At 39.2% G+C, this 24350-nt stretch overlaps 1 long non-coding RNA gene across 1 annotated transcript in view; it reads left to right on the plus strand.

The window, feature by feature from the left end:
* The window catches only part of LINC00540 (long intergenic non-protein coding RNA 540), a 66237-nt gene extending 48714 nt beyond the window's left edge, over window positions 1–17523 (plus strand). The window contains exon 2 of the long non-coding RNA NR_103810.1: window positions 15525–17523. This is a non-coding gene — a long non-coding RNA (long intergenic non-protein coding RNA 540). The remainder of the gene's footprint in view (window positions 1–15524) is intronic.
* Window positions 17524–24350: the final 6827 nt, after the last annotated feature.

Raw genomic sequence — 24350 nt, forward strand, 5'->3', positions numbered from 1 at the left:
ATGGTAAGAATTTTAGGTCTCTTGTTATAGTCCCATAGGTCCCAGAGGCCTTGTTTATTATTTTTTTCCAGTTTGTTTACTCTCCATTCTTAATATTGGGTTATTTATGTTGTTCTGTTTTAGCTCACTAATTCTTCTTTTTGCCCCTTTAATTCTACTGTTGAACTCATACACTAAGTTTTTTTAAAAATTTTGTTTTTGTGTTTTTTCAGTTCTACAATTTCCATTTGGTTTTTTATGTCTTCTATCTATTTATTTGCTGAGAGATTCTATTTTTCAATTGTTCCATGTATGTTCAGAATAGCTCACTGAAGTATTTTTATTGTGGCTGCTTTAAAGTATTTATCAGATAATTGCAACATCTTTGTCATCCTTGTGTTAGCCTCCATTGATTGTCTTTTTCTTCGTTTAGATTTTTCTCATTCTTGTTGTGATGAGTGATTTTTTATATTGAAGTGAGGACATTTTAGGTATTACGTTATGAGACTCAGGGTCTTATTTAAACCTGTATCAGTTGGCTTCCTCTGACATCCTCTGACAGAAAAATGGGGAGTGAGTTGCCTCATTATCTCCAGTTAGGGGAAGAAATCCAATCCAGTCCCTTGGCGTTCACTGATACCTGAAGTGGAGAGTTTCCTGTTACTGCTGGAAAGTGATGGGAGTTCTGGGTCCTCCAGCCCCTGGGCCCCTGTTTATTCCCCTGGAAAGGAGAGGAAGGAATACATCATGAGTGCTCCCTACATGGTCCCACTGACACCATGGAGAATGATCTTATGATCACTGAGTGATGGCGAAAGACCTAGTGCACTTATCTAGCACTAGGCCACCTGTGACACCAACATATCAAGGAGAGGGAGGGGCATCTCATTACTACTGGGTTGGGGTGGAAGTCCAGGTTTCCCACAAAGTCTCCACTGACCCTGTAGTGAGGCAGCCTCATTACCATGTGGCAAGGATGAACATCCCAGCTCCCTTCTCTGCCTTCTCTAACACCACCCCAATAGGGGCGTTGAGGTGTCTCCTTTCACCCTGGAGTAAGTGGAAGTCTAGGCTTCTCACTTTGTCTTTGCTGGCATGATGATGGGGCCACTGTCTTTTCTTTGGCTGGAGCAGAGAAGTTATACTCTGAAAGTTTACTGTCTTGCTAAACTGCTCCTTTCTGGTGCTTTGGTTAAGGATAGCAGGCATTTTTATTGGGGGGTTACTTTTATCTGCTCCTGTTGACATTTGGTCTTGTCAGCTTCTCCAGCTAAAACCCAAACTAAAACCCCCAGGAACTCACCATGATGTTGTTCCTTGTATCCTACCATCTCTAGCCAGTGAGCTTTCTCATTTGTCTTTTAGGGGCTTTTTATGTTTGTTTTATACACAATGTGCAGGATTTTAAATGGTACTTAGCAGAAGGAATGAGAAAAAGTACTTCTATTTCATCTCTTTGGAAGTGGAAGTCTAATATTAACGTCTTATTCAACCTTGCCAAGACTTAGTGAAATGCTTAAGAAAACTTTGTTCTAATTCTAATATGTATGATATCTTTTATCATTATCCTGGTCCTATTAAATGTACATTCCATATTCCATCCAGTATACTATTATGATGATAGTAACAGTGATAGTAGTGGCTAACACCTATATGGTGTTATGTATAGAAATGTAGTCATTTAATATTCATGATGATCTAATAATTAGTTATCATTATTTCCTTAATGCAGATGAGGAACTAATGCACAGGGAGACTAAATAATTTCACCAAGGTCTTTCAGCTGAGCTTTGAGCTAAGGCAGATGTGGTCGCTCTCCTGAGTTTCAGAGAATTTAGTGAACATTTCAGAGAACTCTTACTTACTATTTTAATTTGCAATTTCTTCAAGTTCAAACTTGAAGCACAATCTTTACCACTAGCTATATTTCTAAAAGGGCTTTGATTTCTTCAAAATGCCTGCCACCAATGATGATTATCCAAACAGTGGTTTCATGAGGCTCATGGTGCCTGTTGGGAGACATTCCTCACTGGGAGTCTTGTGCTCATTTGTGTCTTATGATGTCCCCAAAATGCAAGTCCCTGACTGATCTTTACCTGGGCTCAGGATTGTGTTTGCAGCGAGAGCAACTTTGAGGCACGAGATACTATCTCCCTGCAGAAAAAAGAAGTCTGTCTTTTGCTAACTCTAAAAGCAGTGAATACCCCAAACTCAGGGTTTATCTTTTGTAAAGCCACCCATGGTCAGTGTAGATGTCTTTTGTCTGTTTAAGCTCGTGTGGGACTCGGGGCTTGGAAAATTGGTGCAATTACACAGTCACTGACTACTACTTTTGCTGGAAGTAATAAAATTTTTTGTCTGTAACCCAGGAGTCTCATACCTTTAGGGGTAACCATGAAATGGTGGCAGGCTAACTTTTTAGCTTGCAGGTAGGGTAAAATATCTGATCCTTCACAGTTTTCACAGTGGTACAAGGTCCACTCTTGCTTTCTGAGGACTCCAGGAGCTCAGCCCACACTTAGATAAATGGGATTTATACATTGTTTCTTTAGGCAGGAAGAGTAAGTTAACATTTGAGTCCAGGCAGAACAAATTTCTTTACCCTTCAGAAGCGTGAACTTTATGATTTTGCCTGTGTAACATTACTGGAAATTTTAGCAGCTTAAAATTTCACCAGTTCATCATTCCATGCCCACAGCCACGTGGACTAAATTGACCATTTGGCAATTTGTATCTTCTAATATTATCTCCTTCTAACCATACTGGGGATAATTCTAGCAGATACAGGCTAATGGTGTGTTTTTTTTTTTGTTTTTTTTTTTTTTTTTTTTTTTTGGCCCAGTCAAAAAGTAAAGACAAATTGGAGAAATGGGATGAAAATTATTATGTGTCCTTCTGGCACCCAGACACAGTAATAAAAAAAAAAAAACAGGCCAGGGGTTTAAAGATTTCTAATTAAGGGTTTCCACCTCAGTTTCCTCCTGTTGCAGGACATTTGACATAATAGGCTGGCTCCTGAAGGCAGAGCCTTATGGAGAAAGGTGGGCTTCGTGTTTCAGTGTTTTACTTGCCTCTCCCTTCTGTTCTTTCATTTCCCAGGCCTTCCCATTGTGTAAACACACTTGTTCATGCTGTTTTTCTTGCTTCCTTTTTTTTCCCCCATAGTTTGCTAAATATGCCTTTCAAGTATTCTCTTAAAAAAAAAATCGTTTTTTTTTTCCCTCCAGATTTTGCCTTCGTTTGCTTCATTTTCTGGGCAGAAGGCCCAGTCTGGTTTATACTTATTGTGCATCTATATCTTCTCAAAGTGATTCCTTCCTTTATAATTATTATTCTCATTCATTTATTTTCTCATTAGAGAATTGAGTGATGTGGAAAGGTGACCTCCCAGCTGATCTTTCAGGAGAAATACTTCCTTCTGTGTCTTTAAAAATATTCTTCTATGATGTTGGAAGATGAGGCTTAATGCCTTCCTTACATGCTTTGCTGCTGAGTAGAATGACATTTGTTTTGACCAGTGCTCGCTTCATTTTCTTTCCTCTTATTGAATCAGATAGAAATCATGCACTTGTCTCTGTGTGTTTGTATGCCTGAGTGTAGTGGAGTTGCAAAGGCAAATGCTCTGTGTGTGTTTGTGTGTCTGTGGGTTTGTGTGCTGAGTGTGATGCAGCGTAGATGCATAGGCGAATGCTCTGCTGCACTTTGGCATGTTTATTTTGGAATGTCATTTCCAATCAAATCTAACATTTATAACTGGCCTCCCTTCATGGCTTTCTGGGCCACAGTTTAAATGCCCAAGAATAAACATGTCAGCTGTAAATGGAAGATTATGGCAGCAACCAAGACAGATTGCCATCTCATCAGCTGCTTAAAAATTAAAATTTCTTTCTGTGGCTAGACTTTCTTACAGCTATGTCTATGGGCTGTGAAGAAAGCAGATATTTAGTGGAGTGAATGGGGTATAGGATATAAGATGTTAAAATATCACAAAGTGCCTTGTCTTGTCAGTAAAAGACAACCGTAGAGAATACCAAGCTGAGCCAGAATGCTTTTTAAGAAATTTCTCCCAAGCAACCAGAATCTAGTGATTCTAGGATCTAACAAGAATAAATTTTCTAGTGGGATATGTATTTTATAGTTATGGAAATGCAGAATTGCATATTCACGTGTAAGCCTATAAGTTTTAAAGATGCAAAGGGAAGTGTAACAAGTTTTATTTTTCTATTTGAAAGCAGAGTATTTTTCACAGATGACTACACTCAGCTTGCTGACACATTCTCTGGATTTACCAAGTGAAATTGCACAGTGTCAGGAATGATTTGCCAATGTCTTCAGTAGGTATGAACTTAATACATCTTTCACATTTAAGAAGCCACCAGAAGCTGTCAACTGGCCAAATGAAGGGGTATCCCACTGAGCTGGGTTAACATCGTCAAATGAATGTGATGAAATGTTACTTCATTGATGATGGCATATTGTGATTCCATCAGAGCCTTCCCTTAGGAAACACTATGCACTATGGTACTTTTCTTGATTATTACAAAATATATGGATTCCTATCCTTTATTTTAGCAGGTTGGAGGAATCTGAAAAAAGATGTTTCGTGAACAATCCAAATGGATTCTTTACCATAAAACTCTGACTTTTATTGCTGTTATAACTTTGGACTTTCTCAGTAAAATTAAACAATCCTTTGGGTGCAGCAGTTTATTCCTTTAAAAATCAAGCTGTGGGCCAGATGCGGTGGCTCATGCCTATAATCCCAGCACTCTGGGAGGCTGAGGCGGGCAGATCACAAGGTCAGGAGATCGAGACCATCCTGGCTAACATGGTGAAACCCCATCTCTACTAAAAAAATACAAAAAAAATTAGCTGGGCGTGGTGGTGGGCGCCTGTAGTCCCAGCTACTTGGGAGGCTGAGACAGGAGAATGGCGTGAACCTGGGAGGCAGAGCTTGCAGTGAGCCGAGATGGCGCCACCACACTCCAGCCGGAGCAAGAGTGCAAGACTCCATCTCCAAAAAAAAAAAAAAAAAAAAAAAATCAACCTCTGGTGTTGTGGGTGGGGATGGCGGAAGGAGTGATGCATGATACGTTCATGGCTATTTCGTCATGCTCCCCTGCTTTCATCAGAGATATCAACAGATGAGCAGCTGTTGACCCAGAAAGGTGGATCAATGCTTATGGCCATACCCTGTATTAGTTTCCTTATCTTTGCAAGTTGGGTCCTACGGGGTTTCAAATCCAGCTGCCTTTAATAGACAGAACGCTTAGGGCCACACACGTGAAGGACTTACTAGGTATTGCTTAACTCTGTTTTTGTTCATAAACAGGCATCAAGGATGGAGATGCGCTAAGACTGATGATGTACACAGTACAAATAGTGCAAATAAGGATGAGAATACAAGCCCTGGTGATTAAAAAAGGTCAATAATGTTTTTCAAGGAGCACTTAGCTTTTTAAATGATTGTTTAAAAAATGTTGCTTCCATGTATTAAGTCTGAATTGTCCTTAGATGAATGACAGGAAATTATGTCTGTCTTTTCTTTTAATATGTGTATGTTCATCCAAACACAATGAAGTAAAACACCGAAGCTTTATCTGTGTGATTCAAGTCCCCTAACCTATCTTTATCTGAATATTAAAAGAGAAAAATCTTGGTAGATATAAATAAGAACTAAATTGTCTACAAAATTGATTTAATTCTCATTTTATTTTTTTTAAATTTTTACATGACCTACAGGACATCACTTGTAACACAATAAAGAAAAAGATATTATTCTTTAATACAGATTACAAAGTTGACAGTGAAAATTGCATCATGATTGGTTGAAAGAGATATTGATAGGATTTAATAGTCCTCTACTTTAATTGCTACTGTTTCCAATTAGACAGAGTTGGTGTTGCTCAGCCTGAAAATTCTGGACTCTGACTTCTTGAGCCTCTACAACTCTAAAATGTTCGTGTTCACTGCTGTGCTAACTTTACATTTAAGCATTAGTAATGATATTTTTAGATAATTTTAATGTTTTTTATAGTAGTTATGAATACACTAACCTTTTTCATCCCATGCTTACTGTAAAAATAAGATTAGCCAATGATTATCTCTTTTATATATATATATATATATATATTTGACAATCCCGTGGTTATGGTAAATTTCACACATACTGACATTACTTTGAGAAAACTGATTTGTATCCCTACTCCCATCCCAGGAGAATGTTCTTATTATCTCAGTAACGTCCAGCAGATGATATCAAGATACGGGTCAGCTGGTGAGCACATGTGGGATTATAAGAAAATCGGCCTGAAACAGCTCAAATTCACCAATAAGCCATCCCATGCATGGCATTTTATTTATTGAGAATCTTAATAAACATTTCCATCATAATTCTCTTCCAAGTAGCCTTGGCACAACTTGGATTTCTTCCTTCTTATGGTCTTTATAACTGTGCTTGCACAAACTCTGTTATAGCAGTAGATGACTGAGGGAAGTTAGCTGGTTTGGTAGCTCTAAATACCATCCCCAGGACCTGGATTAATAACCAGCAGAACATTTATTGTTGAATAATGAATTCACTCCTTGTATAATGCTTTAATGTAAGAAATTTCTCCCTTGATTGGTTTGAGCCCTTTCTTAAACTCACACGTCATTAGCGAGCTAGGAAGTGTATTGTTGGACTACTGGTAATTCTTAGCAGTGTACGAAGACCACTATGTTCCGTATATTAGTATCTAACATTTATTGAGCACAAGCTTTATGTGCCAAGTGCATTGGCAGGTGCTCTCTATTTAAAGTGGAAAGTACAACGAGTACTTGTTCCTTCCCCTGAGTGTAAAAGGAGTAGGTGGAACTCTTAGTATGGAAACTAGCAAATTTGAGTGTATCTGACATGGGGTGGGGGTGGGGGGGTGGTGCAGATCTTGGCTAATAGCAGGAAAAAAGTAGGTAAGTCATATATGCATACCTAAGACCAAGACTCATTCAGGGCATAAGAAATTGTGTGAAATTATTTGAAGTTATTGAGATAAGATTTTGTTTTTAACAAAGGCAGAACTTTTCTACATGCCGGCTTTGCAAACTATATCTTACGTATTTTCAGTCCATGTGCCAAAACTGTACTAGTCTCTTCTCCATCAGAGACTAACAAAAAACATCATGAAGATCCACCTGCTGTTGTAGTGGCCTGAATGATGCAGGAGAAAGGGGGTTTCCGAGGGGGAGTATTACCAATCACAAAACCTGAACACATGTTATTGATTCTAGAGCCAAGATGTTGACACTGTCTGCACCCAGATCAAAATTAGATAAAATAACATTAGATTTCTATAATTACAGAAAGTAGCATATAACTTGAGACAAAGTTTCTAAAATACTGCATTACAGAACACTTAGTAATTAAATCTTCCATTGCTCCCTAGTTTAAACACAATGACTATTCATTACTGTGCTGTCCTCCCCAAAACTCCACTGGAGCCTTCTATGTAGCTCCTAGTCTTTCAGTCTCCCTAGAAAACCTTTTCTATTTTACATGAAAATTTTAGAGGTGTAGAGGCTACAGGAGTCAGAGTACAGACTTTTCAGGTTGAGTAACACCAACTCTGCCATATTGGTAACAGTATATAAAGTTATATACATAAAATATGAACAGAGATAAAGTTATATACATAAACTATGAAACAATTCCTTGCCTTCCTTATTATTTGCCTGTCTGCTCAGCAAACCTCTGCTCTTTAGTCTCTGTTTCTGCCCAAGACCAGTCTCCCCTCAGGCCCTTGATCTCAGCTTCTTATGTTCCAACAGTGTATCTTAGATTTATTCCTTCTTTACTAAGTTCTTTTCCTCAACCTATACACATGCTCAAATAGCCTATCCTTACAGAAACTCTCTTGTGACCCTGAAATTCTCTCCTAATTACTATCCATTCTCTTTTCTTTCTCATCCAATGTCATTCATTAATGCAATAAAAGTTTGTTGAGCAGCTATTATGTGCCAGGTACAATGCTAAACTTCTTTAATTCTATAATCAGAACAACAGTTATTATTCTTCAGTCTCAAAAAGCATGTATGTATTAAATTAGAAATATAAATTGGGAAAATATAGAAATGTATAAAAAATAAATAAAAATTATAAATAATCCTACTCACATGCCCAACACTGGTAATATCAATATATAACCAACCACATATGTACTGCTGCCTATTGGTAATGATGTATTCTAGATACAGGTAGAGTAAAAATACAAAATATGCCTTACAATATAAATTATTTTAAGTTTGTAATTGTAATTATTTTAAGTATTTTAATGAGATGTTTCTCACCCTCTTGAATAGTCTTGGAATGCAAAGTTTGTGCTAATTAATGGTCCTGAATTGCAGACCCAACTTCTCATTGTATCCTTACATGACAGAGGCCCGTCCCTTCTGTAAGGACACTCAGCCTATTCCTGAGGGCTCCATGCTTACATTCTAATTATCTCCCAAAAGCCCCCACCTCCTAATGCTGTCACATTGGGCATCAGGATTTCACATATGAATTTTATGGGAACACAAACATTCAGCCCATTGCAATGCTCTTTTTCCCTTCTGTAAAGTTGTTTCTGGGGTGTGGCTGTCCTTCCAGGACACCTTCATCACAGTAGGGCCGTGCGACTAGTGCTCATTAAGAGTGGTGTGTGTAGCTTATGGGCCAAAATAGTGAAGAAGTAGGTATTCTCCAAGCTCTATGACTTCTTTCATCTGTTCATTGGGTCACAATGGCCAAGGTCACCTTGGAAGCCATGTGTTGAGGATTGGCAGAGCCCCTATCAAAGTAGGGTCATGAATGATCCCACAGAGTAGAACACGGTTCCACACCCCCACCCCCTCACTGCCCGCTAGATTTACAGGGTGAGAAACAAAATTTCATGGGATTAAGCTACTGAAATATGGAGTTTCTCTGTTATATTGATTAGTGTTACTTAAATATAGAAACTAGTATCTTAAAGTGAGTGCTAGTATAGTAAATATCCTAAAACATGTGACATTGCTTCTAGATGCCAGGCAGGGAACAGTAAAAAACCTTGCGCTGAAGCATGGGAAGACAGAGGTCCAGTGTATGGGGTAACGAAACATTTGGTTACACTGTCTCCAAAAATAAGTTTAAAGGTAATCAATTTGCCTGTAGCCGTAAATGCAGAAAGTGAAAATAGAATATTCGTAGGATGTGTTGGTTGAATGCAGGCTATATTAGTTGCTTAGGGCTGCCACAAACTGGGCCCTTGAAACAACAGAAATTCATTCCCTCATGGTTCTGAAGCCTAGAAGTCCAAAATCAAGTGGTTGGCAGGGCCATTCTCCTTGAAACCTCTGGGAAATAATCCCTCTGTGCCTCTTAGCTGCTGGTGGTGGCGGTTGACGCGTCTTCACACTCCTTGGCTTGTAGCCGCATCATTTTAATTTCTGCCTGTATCTTCACCTATCTTCACATGTCTATCGCAGTGTGTGTGTGTGTGTGTGTGTGTGTGTGTGTGTGTGTGTGTCGAAATCTCTCTCTCCTTACAAAGATACCAATCCTTGGAGGTAGGGCCCACCCTGATCCAGTATGACCTTATCTTAACTTGATTATATCTGCAAAGATCCTAATTCCAAGTAAGGTCACACTCACAGATATCAAGGATTAGGTCTTCAGTACAGTTTTTCCAAATTCAATTCAATTGTGGAATTCAAGTTGAATTCCGCAATTCAACCCACAAAATGGACATTGGAAAATTACATGGCCTCAGGCAAAATTTTTCTGTTTGTAGGCAAAAATTGAGAAGGAATAGAAATAATACACATGTTTGGAGTTTGTTGGAAAAGCAGAATGCTGCTGCATTCGGTCTCGTGGGGAGCCAGACTGAGCAGGGAATCTTAACACATTGAACATGGGGCTTCCAAGTCTACTAGGGTGTGGGGAATAGATCCTGTATGTAGGAATGAGGATGCACATGGATACATTTTGACCAGAGAAGAGGACTGTGGCAGAGAAGGCTAGCTATGCACAGAGATCCTGTTCCCCTTCCGTACTAGAAAATGATTGCTGGGAGTAACTGCCTATTTAAGGACTGCATTTTTTACTTCCCCTTGCATCCGGAGGGGATAGAAGGAATGTATTTTACTTCCACCTGGTTAAGAAGTGCATATGCCTTCTCCTTTCTCTCTTCCTCCATCTTCTGACTAGATATATTCAAGATGACTTTGGGCTCTGCATGTTTAATAGGGCGGGACTTGTGTCAGACAGGATCCCTTAACAGCTGGATGGAGAAATAAAGGTATATTTTGTTAAGCCACTGAGAATTTAGGGCTTATCTGCTATGGTAATATAAAGTTTTACCTTTACCAACATATAAAGTGTTCCTTAATTTATTTGAAATGTCTTCTATGGTTAGGCATTTTAGATGTTTTTAGGTTTCTACTGTTACAACAATATTAACCTATGAAGTTTTGGATTCATCCCTGCTTATTTCTTTTCTTTCTTTCTTTTTTTTTTTTTTGAGATGGAGTCTCACTCTGTCACCCAGACTGGAGTGCAGTGGCGCGATCTCGGCTCACTGCAACCTCCATCTCCTGGGTTCAAGCAATTCTCCTGCCTCAGCCTCCCGAGTAGTTTGGATTACAAGCATGTGCCACCACGTCTGGCTAATTTTTTGTATTTTTAGTAGAGACGGGATTTCGCCACGTTGGTCAGGCGGTCTCGAACTCTTTTTTTTTTTTTGAGATGGAGTCTTGCTCTTTGGCCCAGGCTGGAGTGCAGTGGCGCGATCTCGGCTCACTGCAAGCTCCACCTCTCAGGTTCATGCCATTCTCCTGCCTCAGCCTCCTGAGTAGCTGGGATTACAGGCGCCCGCCACCGCGCCCAGCTAATTTTTTATATTTTTAGTAGAGACGGGGTTTCACCATGTTAGCCAGGATGGTATCGATCGCCTGACCTTGTGATCCGCCCGTCTCGGCCTCCCAAAGTGCTGGCATTACAGGCATGAGCCAAGCCACCGTGCCCGACCTCATCCCTGCTTATTTCTTTGGAATACATTCCTAGTGTGAAATGTGGAGGTTATGAGAGGCTGTCAATATTCATTGCCTTTCAGAAAGAATATTTCAGTTTGTAATTATTTCTACCAGAATTGGATGGTAGTACCGTGTTTTTCCACCATTGCCAACATACTTTACAAAAATTTACCAAAGTGACAGGAGAAATAAAAATCATATCTTGACTAAGCTTGAAGTGTAGCCTGTACGGGTTGCCATCATTTCATCACCTTTTAGTCACTTCTAAACCTATTACAATTTATCTTCCACACCATTAAGCAAATGAAAATGCACTTGTTAATGGTCTCTAATGACTTCTGAATTATCAGATCACATGGATGTATTTAATTCCTTGTCTTATTTTCTCTCTTTGTATCAGTTTAACAATGGAACAGAAGTCTTTTCTTTCTTATTTTCTTATTTCTTCACTTCTGCTTTTGTCTTTTCTTTAATATTATTATGATGACAACTCTATCTTTGTGACCATTCCTTCTAAGTTCCCTTTCTGGATCCTCTTTCTTTGCCTGGTCCTACATGTTGGAGCTCCTTAGTGTTCTGTCCTTGTCCTCATATTTTCTATCTCTGTCCCTGCTCCCAAACCTACCTCTCGTGTGCTAATGGCTTTCTTATCTATGTGGTTAGCTTGGCCTCTCACAGACCCTGTGTCAAGTGCCTACGGGACATCCTCCACCTGACCATCCCATAGAGACTTCAAACTAAACAGAACTGAATTCATTATCGCCTCCTCCCTCAAACCTATCCTTTCATCTTTACTTCCTACATAGGTTGGTAACTCCGCTCTTTAACTCTTTACTCACTCCCCTAGGCTGTGGGAGTCAATCGGTCTTTTTGAGTGTTCATATTCAGGTTCTCTTGAATGTGCACTGGACCAGGTGACTTGCTTCTAACAAATGGAGTAAATAAAAGTGGCGGGATGTCACCTCTGGGATTAGGGTATAGAAGACTGTGACTTCCATCTTGCTGGTATACTCTTCTTCACTCTGCCCCGAGCTTGCTGTAATGGACAGGGCCAGATGGCATGGCGCTAAGCCAGCAAGGGGCTGAAGCCCTCAGTCCAACAGTCTTTGAGGGCCAGGATTCTGCCTGCAACCACCGAGAGAGCTGCGAAGCTGATTCCAGCTCACTTGAGCCCCAAGATGACTATGGTCTTAAATGTCACCTGGATCACAGCCTTGTCAGAAACCCTGAAGCAGAAGACCCAGCTAAGTTGTGCCCAGATTTCTGACCCACAGGAGTATTAAACAATAAATATGTGTTATTTTAGGGCATAAGTTTTGGAGTACTGATTTGTTACACAGCAAATAAACAATACAGGGAATAAGACAATGGCAAAATATTATGTGAAAATTTATGAATTTTTACCTTCGAAATATGTGAATGTTAATGAAGGAAATTCTTAGTGATAATATTTGAATACCTCTTCATATAAAATATATCAAAATAGCATATTTTAACTTTTATCAGCATTTGATGTACCAACAATATTTTTCTTCAATATGTTCATTCTTGGTATGAAGAACTATATGAAAATTATAAATGCATATTTAAATGGCTAAGAAATTACATAAATTTTGATTAATTATAAAGTAATGAGAATATGTGGCCAAATTAAACCTCAGTTATTTGGCAGGAAGTTATAGTTATAACACTGATCAAAGCAGTGTCCCTTGAACTTACCTTGATTAGCATTTCCTGTGTAACAAAAATGCCCCAGATTCCTTGAGAAAACTCACAGTGTTGGTTCATTCAGTGAAAATTTGTGTTATAATTTTGCATACACAACTACATGGTAAGTGGCTGTAGTTCCCAGTACATTGGCTTAATTGGGTGGATGTGACTTAATTTAAGTAGCTGTCTTGTTTAATTCATTAACTTAATACTTTCACCCTCCCCCTCTATATTTCAAATTACCTCCAGGATGAAATAGAATGCTGTAGTTCTAAGGATAGAAAAACATTACTTCTGAGCAATATTTCAGTCATAGGTCAGTAATCTTGATAGCTGGTGTTACATCTGCCTCATCTAGCAGGGTGGATATAGATGTTCTTATAGCTCGGAGAGAATCACCAAGGTACTAAATACATGCATAGGACAAAGACAGGCATCATTAGGAAGGGCAAGTATTGCAACATATTTTATTGTGTGCTATGGCTGCATGATGAAGTTTGCTGCCCCGACAGCCATAAATCACATTCACAGATTAAACTCATTTTCTGTGGCCTAAAGGAGCTTTTCTAGATTCAGTCATTAAATTTTTAGTTTAACCATTTTCATATGTGGAAAAAATGATGTTTTTTTACAGAGACGTAATGGTTATCCCTACTCTGGAGAAATTTACTGCATTATATTGCTGAGGCTTAATAGAGATTTAGGTTTCATGTTGGGAATATACTGAAGATAAAATTTAATGGTGCATTCAACCACTTAGGTGGATTGTCATCATAAGTCATACAAAAAAGCTGTAAGTGATGAGACTTGCTATCTTCCCACTGAAAGAAAAATATGAAAAACCAAATTGAAAATAATGCCTTATACCATAAATTTTTATTTCCATGTACTTTTGCCTGTCACCAAGTATCACAGATCATTTCATTCTTTGATGTGTTGACTGTAAGTCTACATTGAACACTAAAAATAACATCAAATAGTGTCTTATTAACCTGATTTAAAACAATGATTTTTCCCTCTTTGTATTTTACAACACAAAAAATAAGCAGATGGATTTAGATGATTCAGTGGTTTTTCCCCTGGGATTTCACCCTCAAAACGAATCTCCAGATATTCTGTATGTCCCCATAAAAATGTATATTTTTCTCCTTTTTTTTTTTTTTTTTGAGATGGAGTCTCACGCTGCTGCCCAGGCTGGAGTGCAGTGTGCAGTGTCATGATCTCACTCACTGCAACTTCTGCCTCCAGGATTCAAGCTATTCTCTTGCCTCAGCCGCCCAAGTAGCTGGGATTACAGGCACGTGCCACCATGCCTGGCTAATTTTTGTATTGTTCGTAGAGACGTGGTTTCACCATGTTGGCCAGGCTAATCTCGAACTCCTGACCTCGGGTTATCAGCCCACCTTGGCCTCCCAAAGTGCTAGGATTACAGGCGTGAGCCACCACGCCCAGCCTTTTTTCTCCTCAATTTGGGTATCACATGAATTAGCTTTTCTGTAAAGTACCATTTGCTCTGTCCTTTCTGTGTATTTCCTCCATCAAAAATTTCAGAGCCGTGTTTTATTCCTTCAAGGGTCTTCCAGGCAATTGTTTAGAGCAGCGCTACTTTTAAACAGAACCTTGTTTGATGATGAAAATATTCTTTATCTTTGTGTCTACTGCAGTGTACATACAGTCCTAAGTGCCTGTTAGTCACTTGAAATGTGTCTAGTGCAATGGAGGAACTAATTTTTAAATTTCATCACATTTTAATTAGTTAAAATTTAAATTAGTCACATGTGGCTACTATATTGAACAGTTCAGTCTAGATAACAAAGTGATAATGCATGCTTTATTTTAAATGTATTGTTCTTTTCAGTTAGATTTCACGATGTTCTCTTGGTGTTTAATCTTATTTTGCTTTATTTCATTTTGTTGAGTGTTTATTATGTGCCAGGTACAGTGCAATATTCATCAACATGGATGCTTATCTATTTCTATTGTTTTTATTTATTTCTGAACTGCAATTGGCCACTAAGCCTCATGGGAAACTATCTTTGACCCCAGAGTGACCTGAAGATGCAGCGTCTTGGAACTTTCACCTGGAACACCAGGATTCTCTCAGCCACATGCCTTCAGTAGCTAGGCTGTCTTGCTGTGATCTGCCTCTGTCACCATCCAGTGGGGACAGGTCCTAGGTGCAGAGCCAAGAGAACGATACATGTGATTTGATGTAAAATATGTTAATTAAAGGCCTTCTGTCTCCCTTTTTTGTCTTTTTCCAAAATTCTCTCTGAGATTTTCCATTAAAGGAGTAAAAATTTCTTCAGATGGAAAAAGAGCCTTATATTGTAATGTCTATGGGATTTTCATAGACTCTGAAAACCAAACTCCAAATTCCTAAATACCTAGACACTGTTGAAAGCACTTTACTTGAGCGCATTCAGGTATTATAATAACAATTACGTAAATTTTTCAGAACACTTCTGCCTGGTTGGATTAAGATCAAATTTATTAAAATATGTCTGAACCAATTAAGTAAATCGTGATATAATGTAAAGTACAAAACACCCACCAATGATAATAATTTCTATCAACATTTCACATCTGTAGTTAACTTGAAGCAGATGCTCTAAGACACGGCCCATTGTTTTATATTTGCATGTGACAACATGTTTTGATGTTTTCTTTTTAATTGTAACATCATGTCATGCAGCTTTTTAAAAAAGTACATGTGTGGTAAGTGTCAAAGCCTGAGCTAAAATTTCATTTCGAAAACTCTTTGTAGCATTTCCAATGATCCTATCTTTTTTCCATGTACTCCACAGGATTCAACAGAGTTGGATTGCTGAGAATAAAATTACGGATTTCTCCATAATGGACACACGCACTTTTTGTTTGTGCTGTTTCCTTTAGAATGGACGATGAGTCAAAATTGTTCGTTTATGCTTCTTCACAGAAGGATCTTCTGTGTCGTAGGAGGTGGCCTGCAGCAATCTGGACATTCAGTGGTCCTCCTGTGATTAATAGGTGAACGGATGAGCTATTCTGATAAGAACTGGGGAACTTTTGCCATTCAAAAGCAAATAGAAGAACTGGGAGATTCCTCAACTTAGCTTTTCTTTTTTTTGGTTCTAAAGTGACTGCGAATGGAGGTAGAAGAGAAGAAAAGCTTTCAAAAACATCTTCCATTAAGAAAAATATGTATCTTCATGAAGACCTATCTGAGTAAAATTACTAAAACATAATGGCTTTCTTGAAATAGAATGGAATGAAAGGCATATTAGGGAGTATGAAAGTATGAAGATTTTATTAACATACTTCTAGAAGTTTATTAAATATCTGCACAGGAACTGTAATTTGAGATCAGTGGTGGAAAGAGAATAAAGGAATCACGTGGACATCAGCTCTGAGGCCTGTGGCCCCACTTGCTTCTGGGCTTTCTATAGACATTTGCTGGTGACCTGCCCAGGCAGGCTAGAGTACCCTTCCTCATTGCACCCTGTGTTCCCATCCTCTTTTCCTTCCTTCCTTCCTTCCTTCCTTCCTTCCTTCCTTTCTTCCTCCATCCCTTATGAAACCCTCGTTGTGCAGTTACTTATTAGGTGCTGTGTGAGCGTCTGAAGTCTCCCCTCACCCACTTTTCCATTTGGGCCACTTGGCCAGTGATTGCATCAGTACCAGGGTTCTAGGAGCCATGCAGGGATCCCCAGTGGGCAGAGCTGGCCGTAGCATTTGGAAAGGAAGAGAGAGAACTGGAGACAATGCCTAGGAACAAAAGCAGAGTCCAGACCCAGGCATCAAGTGCAAATCCAAAGGCTCTGGATGAGTCAGTTCCCAGCAAAGGGACACAAGTAGGCACAGAAGGAAGGACAGCAGAAAACACTGGTCCAGAGAGGGCCTGCAGAGCCAGAAGCGATGACGCATCCAAGGTTGTGTTTGACTTCTGCACTGCCTCTGCAACCTGTAAGCACATCTGAGCCAGTTCAGAAAGTAGGAAAACCAAAGTATATCAGAAATGGCCTCTTATCATCAAGGAGATTTTGGTCTAGATTGCTTATTGCTCAGGAGAAATCACCACTTTTTAAAAAGATATGCTGAGATAGGGTTTAGTTGGGATAGAAAAGGTTATTAAACTACGGGACACCCTTCCTTTACAGAGTGTAAGCACTACTACCCCTTTTGTTTGTCTGTTTTTCTTATTTTTCTCACAGATGCAGTTCCTGCATTAGTATTGATAAATGTGTGGCTGCTCCACTTGGAGTGTTTTCAAAGCATAAATCACAGCATTGATGGTGCTGTGGTTTGGCTCTTCCAGCCCTCTTAACAACGGTCTGATGGACTTGGCGAGAGTCTAGCCACGTGTTCTGGCCTCTGTCACTCTCATGGCTGAAACGCATGCACACCCACAGATGGGGGCCCCGTGGTAGAGATGTGCCTCTACTTGTCAAATAGACTGACTCCAAATTCGGAAATATGCCTCAGGAATCTAGAAAGATAGAAAAGGAGTCTTCGTCACTGTAGGGTCTCATTCACAATATGGAGGAGAGATGGAGGGGAGTTTTTGGTATAAATTTTGCCTCATAAAAATTCTCCACGTTGTTTTGTACTGTATGAGGGTAGCGAGAAATTAGTTGATGGTTAACAATCAAGCTGGAGAAGAATATCCTCAATTTTTCACATGGAAAATGAAAAACTACAACTCCTTCCAAATATATGTATGTTTCTTTTCTGAAGATAGACGTGTGTGTGTTTGTGTGTATCATATAACATTTATTTTTTGATTTCTTTGTTATCAACAGTAAAAATACAGAAAATGATGCCAAAGAGAATTTCTGATTTTTCTTTCCTTGTTTTCCATTAAAGTGTATTACAAATAATGTCTTCAAACACAATAGCATGCATAGTGGCTTAAATTGGATTCTTCCTGGGCCACTCTGTTTAGGATCCAGGTTTTTAACATTGTTCTTCTAAGTGCATCCATGTTTCCTGAGATCCACAAAGCTTGATCTCATCCGTGGAACCACCTGGCCTAGAACCAGCTGCGGCTCTTACTGTGGTCCCCAGACGGGCAGCCTCTGCATCACTGGGAGCTCCTTTGAAAGGCAGGTTCTTGGGCTTCACCCAAGACCCACTCAATCAGAAACTCCAGGGGCGGGCCTAGCCATCTGTGTTTTAACAGGGTGAGGCCGATGCTGGTGCAGGCTTTACTGCTTCCAATAGTTGTGCAAACTTGAACTAGATGATTAACTTTCTTAAATCTCAGTTTCTTTACTTGTAAAATGAAGCTAGTATTATTTACTCATTGGACTATTAGGAACACCAAGTTTATAATACATTGTCTAACACGCTGTATGTATCACTTAATAAGTGTTTTCTTCCTCTTCCCCATCCAGAGCACTTTCTACCCTCTTCCCCCTCACCTGCCTCTAGACCAATAATATATCAATTCTGTTTTTATAAGGAATTAGTCAACATAAAAATTTCAATGTAGATCTTGCATCAATTTGGTGCAATGCACTTGGAGGCTATTTCTATTAGTACACCTTTAAAACAAAATGCTGAACAACTGCTGTGTTGTTTTCTAGGTTAAAAGCAATCCTCCCAAAGAAGTAGAGGTCTCAACTTTTACATCTTGATTTTACTGCAAAGAATATAGAAGGTTTAAAAGACAGGGTCTTTCTATGTCTCTAGGAACTTTTGTGCTTCCCTCATCTAGAAGAACCAGGAGTAACTCCTTCATTGGAGATCGTCTTTCACTTGGAGTTTAAAGCATTTTGCTTATGTGACACCCTTTTTTGAAATGGCCTCTTTGATGTGGAGAGGCAGAGGGTATCTTAATGAATTCTAGACTGCTTTCTGCACAATCCATCTCTGAAAGCTGAGGAAGATGGATCCTGTTTTGTCATCTAGCTTCTTGCTACTCAGTATATGTTCCATAGGGACCAACAACAGTGGGAGCTGGTGAGAAATGAGGAATCTCAGACCCCTCCCTAGGCCTACAAAACCAGAATCTGCATTTTAATAAGATCTTCAAATAATTCGTACTCATATTACTGATTTGACACTGGATGAGTTCATTGTATCTATTTAGGCAAATAGATATGAAAAATTAAAGGGAACTTTTCTGGCTGTTTGAAAACACCTTCTTTTCAATGAAAATTTTAAACTGCTTCCTGTGGCTCACAATGGACCCAAAATTAGAACTAAATTCTGCCTAAGTGCTTTTCTTTAAACTGTATCACCTAAGGGATATATAAAGAGGCAAGAGTTTAGAACTCACTAAATCTAGAAGACATAACTCTAAATAAGAGCGTGACGCAGGAAGTCAGTTGATTGGTGGTGTCCCTGCATCACTTTCTTGGAGACCGTCTTGCCCATCCTGTAACCACACACTCTTCCTTCTTATGCTTTGCGCTTCTCCAATTCCGTAAGCACTGACCGGAGCATTTCCATTAATGGAGTTGCCTTTCCAAGAGATTTTTATTACAGGGTTTTAAAAATGAGGCCTTCAAATTCTTAAGACCGAAAGGAATGAAAGTATAACTGTGATTATAAGATTATAGAAATCATCATGGGTTGAACTTTGGGAGTAAGAACTCCTGTCTTGAACTGTTTAAAACATGCTAGGAAGATGACTATTGATTTGTTAGTCTGTCTATATCCCAAGAACTGTATTCGGTGCGAGGGATACTAGGGAACGGTGTCCTCTTCACAACACTTGGAGTCTATACTTTTCTTGGGTATACCATCTTGTAAGATTTTGAACCAGCAGAATACTAGGGTGTACCCAAATTTGTAATGTAGCTGGTGCCCCCTGCTGGAACAGGGTTACTTAAATTTCCATCTTTTGGGCCATCTGTGCCAGCAACCCTGTTAAGACACAGCCTTGCCAACGTAGCCTATGGGTATAAGAGTAAGTCATTTAATTAACCTCTGCTTCAGTTCCCTGACATATAAGAGTAGAATAACAATAGCAGCCAATCCCAAGCTTCTTGTTGAAAGGTAGAATTAATTAGGGATGACAGTAAAATACTTCATGAAAACTGGATACTAAATAGTGATAAATGTTTGAACATGCCTCCAGTGTTCCTCTGGCAGGAAATGACAATGTGGTATGTGTTATTACTAGACTCGATGTTGCTAATTTTATCTGGTTATTAATTCTCACTTGTCTTAAAGTTGAAATGCACACATACACCTTCATCCACCCCAATCAATATTACATGAGCTGAAGATTTTTGCTGATAGCATTCTCTAGTGAGCAAGATGTGATGAAGAATGTGCTTCAAACAGAGAGGACAAAATAGGTCAGTAAGTGTCTTTGTGTATTACAGGTATAATACTTTGAAAATCACTGATTTGTACTCCTTTATTGATAGGGGGACTTCTCCTGACACAAGAGTGAGTCCCAGAGAATAAGGGTCCCAGAGATTGAATTCCATATGAAGAAGGGAGGGAGTATGAGATTGAGGAAATGCAAGGAGAAATAAGAGTGCCCCATTTTCCTGGCCGGGAAGGTGATGGAAGAAATAAAAAAGAAAGTGCTAAGGTAGAAAAGTCAGTGTGCATCCTATCTCTCCTTTCATGGATAGAACCCCAGTGGGGTTGGGAGTGGGAGAGTTTTAGCTAGAGGTAGGGCAAAACCCCAAGGACATTCCAGGAGAAGTACTGTAGCTGGAAAGCTGTTTCTCCCAGGAGAAGCTGGGGTCAGTTGGCATCCAGCATGATGTGTGGTTGGCCGAAAGAGGAGGCAAAACAAACAGGACTGAGGCAGGCTCCTGGTCCCACAGCCTGTGTGTGGTGTGCAGGAGATTTTTAAAGTCCCTGCAGAAAATGATGAAGGAGTCAAAACTCCTAGGCTTGAGACCAAGGCTGCAGTTTGCAAATTCTTCAGGGATGAGGCAGGTGGCTGAGACCAAGGATTTTGGAAAGAAGTGCCATCACGATGCCTGGATGGCTGTGGAGTTAGGCACACTGCAGTGCTGTGGGCTCAAGGCAGGGGGGCAGCTCACCTAGAGCACAGGGGAGATTGCAGAATGCTATGCATTTGTAGGGCCCTGCTCTCTGGCACTCATGCCACAGCCAGACTGCAACAGGCTCACCTAAAAGGCCTGGAAGTTACCTTGGAGAAGAGCAAAAGATATAGAACACCCAGAATTTCCTTAAGGAAATATTTGAATTATTGGATCAGACTAAGTTTGACAAACTGAGAAACTGGATCAGCCCCAAGAAACAAGGAAGCTCCACTTGTCTTCATACATCTCACCCTAAAGTATACAGTTGTGAACCTTCTACATGGCTCAAAAATTGTACCAAAATATGCCCAGATTTCCAGGATAATTGGTGGCCCAATTCTTCTAAGTACTGTCAAGTATCAAAACACCTGTGTGATGCTGAAGCCTACATCTTAGAGCTTGTTACGAAGGATCTGGTGTTTGTAGGAATAGAAGATTAATGGAGTTTATAGAGCCTCAATGAGATGAGGAGGCCATTGTGACATCACATTATCAAAATTATTATGGGATATCATGTTAGCAGAAAAGAGATACGGGAGAAAGAAATGGGGGTAGAAAATCTTTAGTTGTTTACTAGAAAAGAAAAAAGCCATATGTGTTCACTGTGATGACACAGAGGTGTTGGGGGGAAAAAATAAAATAAGACAAGAAGCCAAATTCACGAATGTTTAGAAACAAGTGGAAGCTGCGCACATCTCTGATCATTCTGTTGACGCCAGCTTTACAAAATGGAGGCCCACTTTAAAAATAAGTGTACTGAAGGGTTAGGCAAAGGACATGTTTTGTTTTTTTTGTCCTGAAATCTGCAGTCACTGAGATTGGTATTAATGACATCACTATTATGAATGCTGCGATTTCATCTAGTATCTATTCAGTTAACTGCGAACTTGAGGTCTGAACAAGTCCTCTCTTCCTGCTCCTCCCTGCTAAATACAACTTTAAACTCTGGAAATAACCTAAGAGACAACCAAAGGAGGGTACCAAAAAAAGGAAGAGGAAGGTGGGGACTGATGAGGGATCCATACGGGTGAGGGACAACGCAGAGCCAGTGTCCTGTGTCTTATCCAGGCATCTAACCTAACAAGAAAGAGAACCCCAGGCCTGGCAGAAGGCAGCCCAGATAGGCCCATTTCTCCTTGGATCCAATGGGAATCCTACTGAAAACACCAGGTGGGCTGGAGCACCAGCTATCAAGGATTGAACAAGAGTTATGCCAAGGGCCGACACCTAGGGCCAGGGCCAGGGCAGTGATCCTGTTTCTGCAGGTGTGAAGGGACTCTCTTCTTCCATCTGGGGACAACTGGGTTCAGTGGGGAGGCCAAGCGCCCTGCCAGGGAGTCCTTTTCACACTGACCACAAAACCAATATCCATTAAAAATGGGCGAGTCCAATATGATTTATAAATAATAATATGAAAACAAATACAATGTTAACATATAGGATTCCATAACATTAAAAAATACCATGATCAATGTGTTTATTTCAGGAATGCAAGCCTATTTAATATTTATAAATCTATTCTCATCCACATTAATGAATTTAAGCATAAAAATTATATGCTAATCTCCCCAGATATTACAAAGGAATAAGTAATAGCCAATCTTAATAAAAAGAAAATTTGTTATAAAACAAGTGTAGATGAATTCTTCATTGACACGATAAAATATATTTATAATAATGCTAAAGATAGTATTATGACTAGCAAGAAAAAAATGTTAGAAACATTCCCATTAAAATAAGAGATAGGACCAGGGTGTTTGCTGTCTCTGGTCTTTAGCACTTTTCTGGAGCTATAAGCCAATGCAATGTGACAAGAGAATAAAGTTTAAAAACTGAAAATTGAAAAAAGGAAGGGTACAATTTTATTTGTTGGCAAATTGTATAGTAGCATATCTTCAAATAGTCTAGACAATTAACTGAAAAACTCTTCCATAAATTAGAGGCACTCAAAATGAATATGCAGAATATATACAGAATCTATACAGCAAGAGAAGACCCAATTTACAATCCCATACAAATGATAAAGTACCTTGAAATAAATTTAATGAAAAATGTGCTAAAAACAACAAGGTTATATTTATGGGCTTTCTTTTTTTTTTCTTTGAGACAGAGTCTCGCTGTGTTGCCTAGGCTAGAGTGCAGTGGTGCGATCTTGGCTCACTGCAAGCTCCGCCTCCCAGGTTCATGCCATTCTCCTGCCTCAGCCTCCCGAGTAGCTGGGACTACAGGTGCCCACCACCACGCCTGGCTAATTTTTTGTATTTTTAGTAGAGACGGGGTTTCACTGTGTTAGCCAGGATGGTCTTGATCTCCTGACCTCATGATCCATCCACCTCAGCCTCCCAAAGTGCTGGGATTACAGGTGTGAGCCACCGTTCCTGGCTTATTTCTGGACTTTCTTATTCTGTTCCATTGATCTCTTTAACAATTCTTGTACCACTTTTAATCATTATAGCTTTATAATATGTTTTAATATTTAGTAAATCTAGTTCTGTGTAAATGTCTCTGAATAGGAAGCTTGTTTTATTAATGTTATGTACAAGTCTGCATCCATTACAAATATTGGATTTTCAGATACTCATCTAAAATTATTTCTTCTGTGTTGTTCAGTGAAAACAAGCAAGGTGCAGGACACTTTGAGCAGTTGTGCAAAAGCAGGTATAAAATGTATATACATTTTTAGAATGAATAGACTATCTTTGAGATGGTTTGTAAAAAAAAAAAATCATAACATTTATTTCCTCTGGAGAGGAGAACTGGCAACTGGGAGATAAGGACAGGACAGAGAGTGTCATTGTAAAAAGTTTTGTTCTCATTGATTTATGAAACATGTAAATATATTATTGTTTACTCAAAAATAAGTAAATATAAATTTTAAAATATGATCATAGTCTCTACATTTTAATCCTCAGAGATGCCTTTTAAGTTTTTCTGTTAGAAACTTTTAATTCTATTACGCATATATAGGCATTACTTTGCTCTTTAATATTTTTTCAGGGAAAATGACATAAAAATTTAAAAAACCCAGGCAATAACTTTCTACATTATCAGGTTTTATTACGCTAAATTAAATTTACTAAATGCTATTAATTAAATTTTAGTAAATGCTTTTAGAGTATGTGTTCTTTTAACTGATAAGATGGTACTATTCTCATGATGCATTATGTGGAGTCTATAAAGGAAAGTTAATATCACAATGCCTAGAAAAGTTAAAGTTTCTGCCTCATGGGGAAATATGGCTGGTCTTTATTCCAGACTATTTTCAAATAGCCTGCTCAGCCCTCCAAAGCTATGTTGTCTTCTCTGACCTGTTTCTTAATTTATATGTAACTTTTAAATCTGCAAAAGGATATTTCAATTTATTTTTATTTTATTATTATTTTTTGAGACAGAGCCTCACTGTGTTGCCCAGGCTGGTCTGGGATCCTCCCGCCTCAGCCTCCTAAGTAGCCAGGATTAGAGGCTTGCACCACCCTGCCCAGCAATTTTAGTAGTTTGGACTTCCTGTGTCTTCCTTTCTGCTTCCCTATGTCCATTATTCATCTCTAGTCGCTCATCTTCCATGCACATCCAATTCCTCATGCTCCTTGACTGTCTCACACCTCCATGCAAGCATAGACCCAGGTTGGCAAGGTC

Source organism: Homo sapiens, chromosome 13 (assembly GCF_000001405.40).
Source record: "Homo sapiens chromosome 13, GRCh38.p14 Primary Assembly".
Classification (NCBI taxonomy): domain Eukaryota; kingdom Metazoa; phylum Chordata; class Mammalia; order Primates; family Hominidae; genus Homo; species Homo sapiens.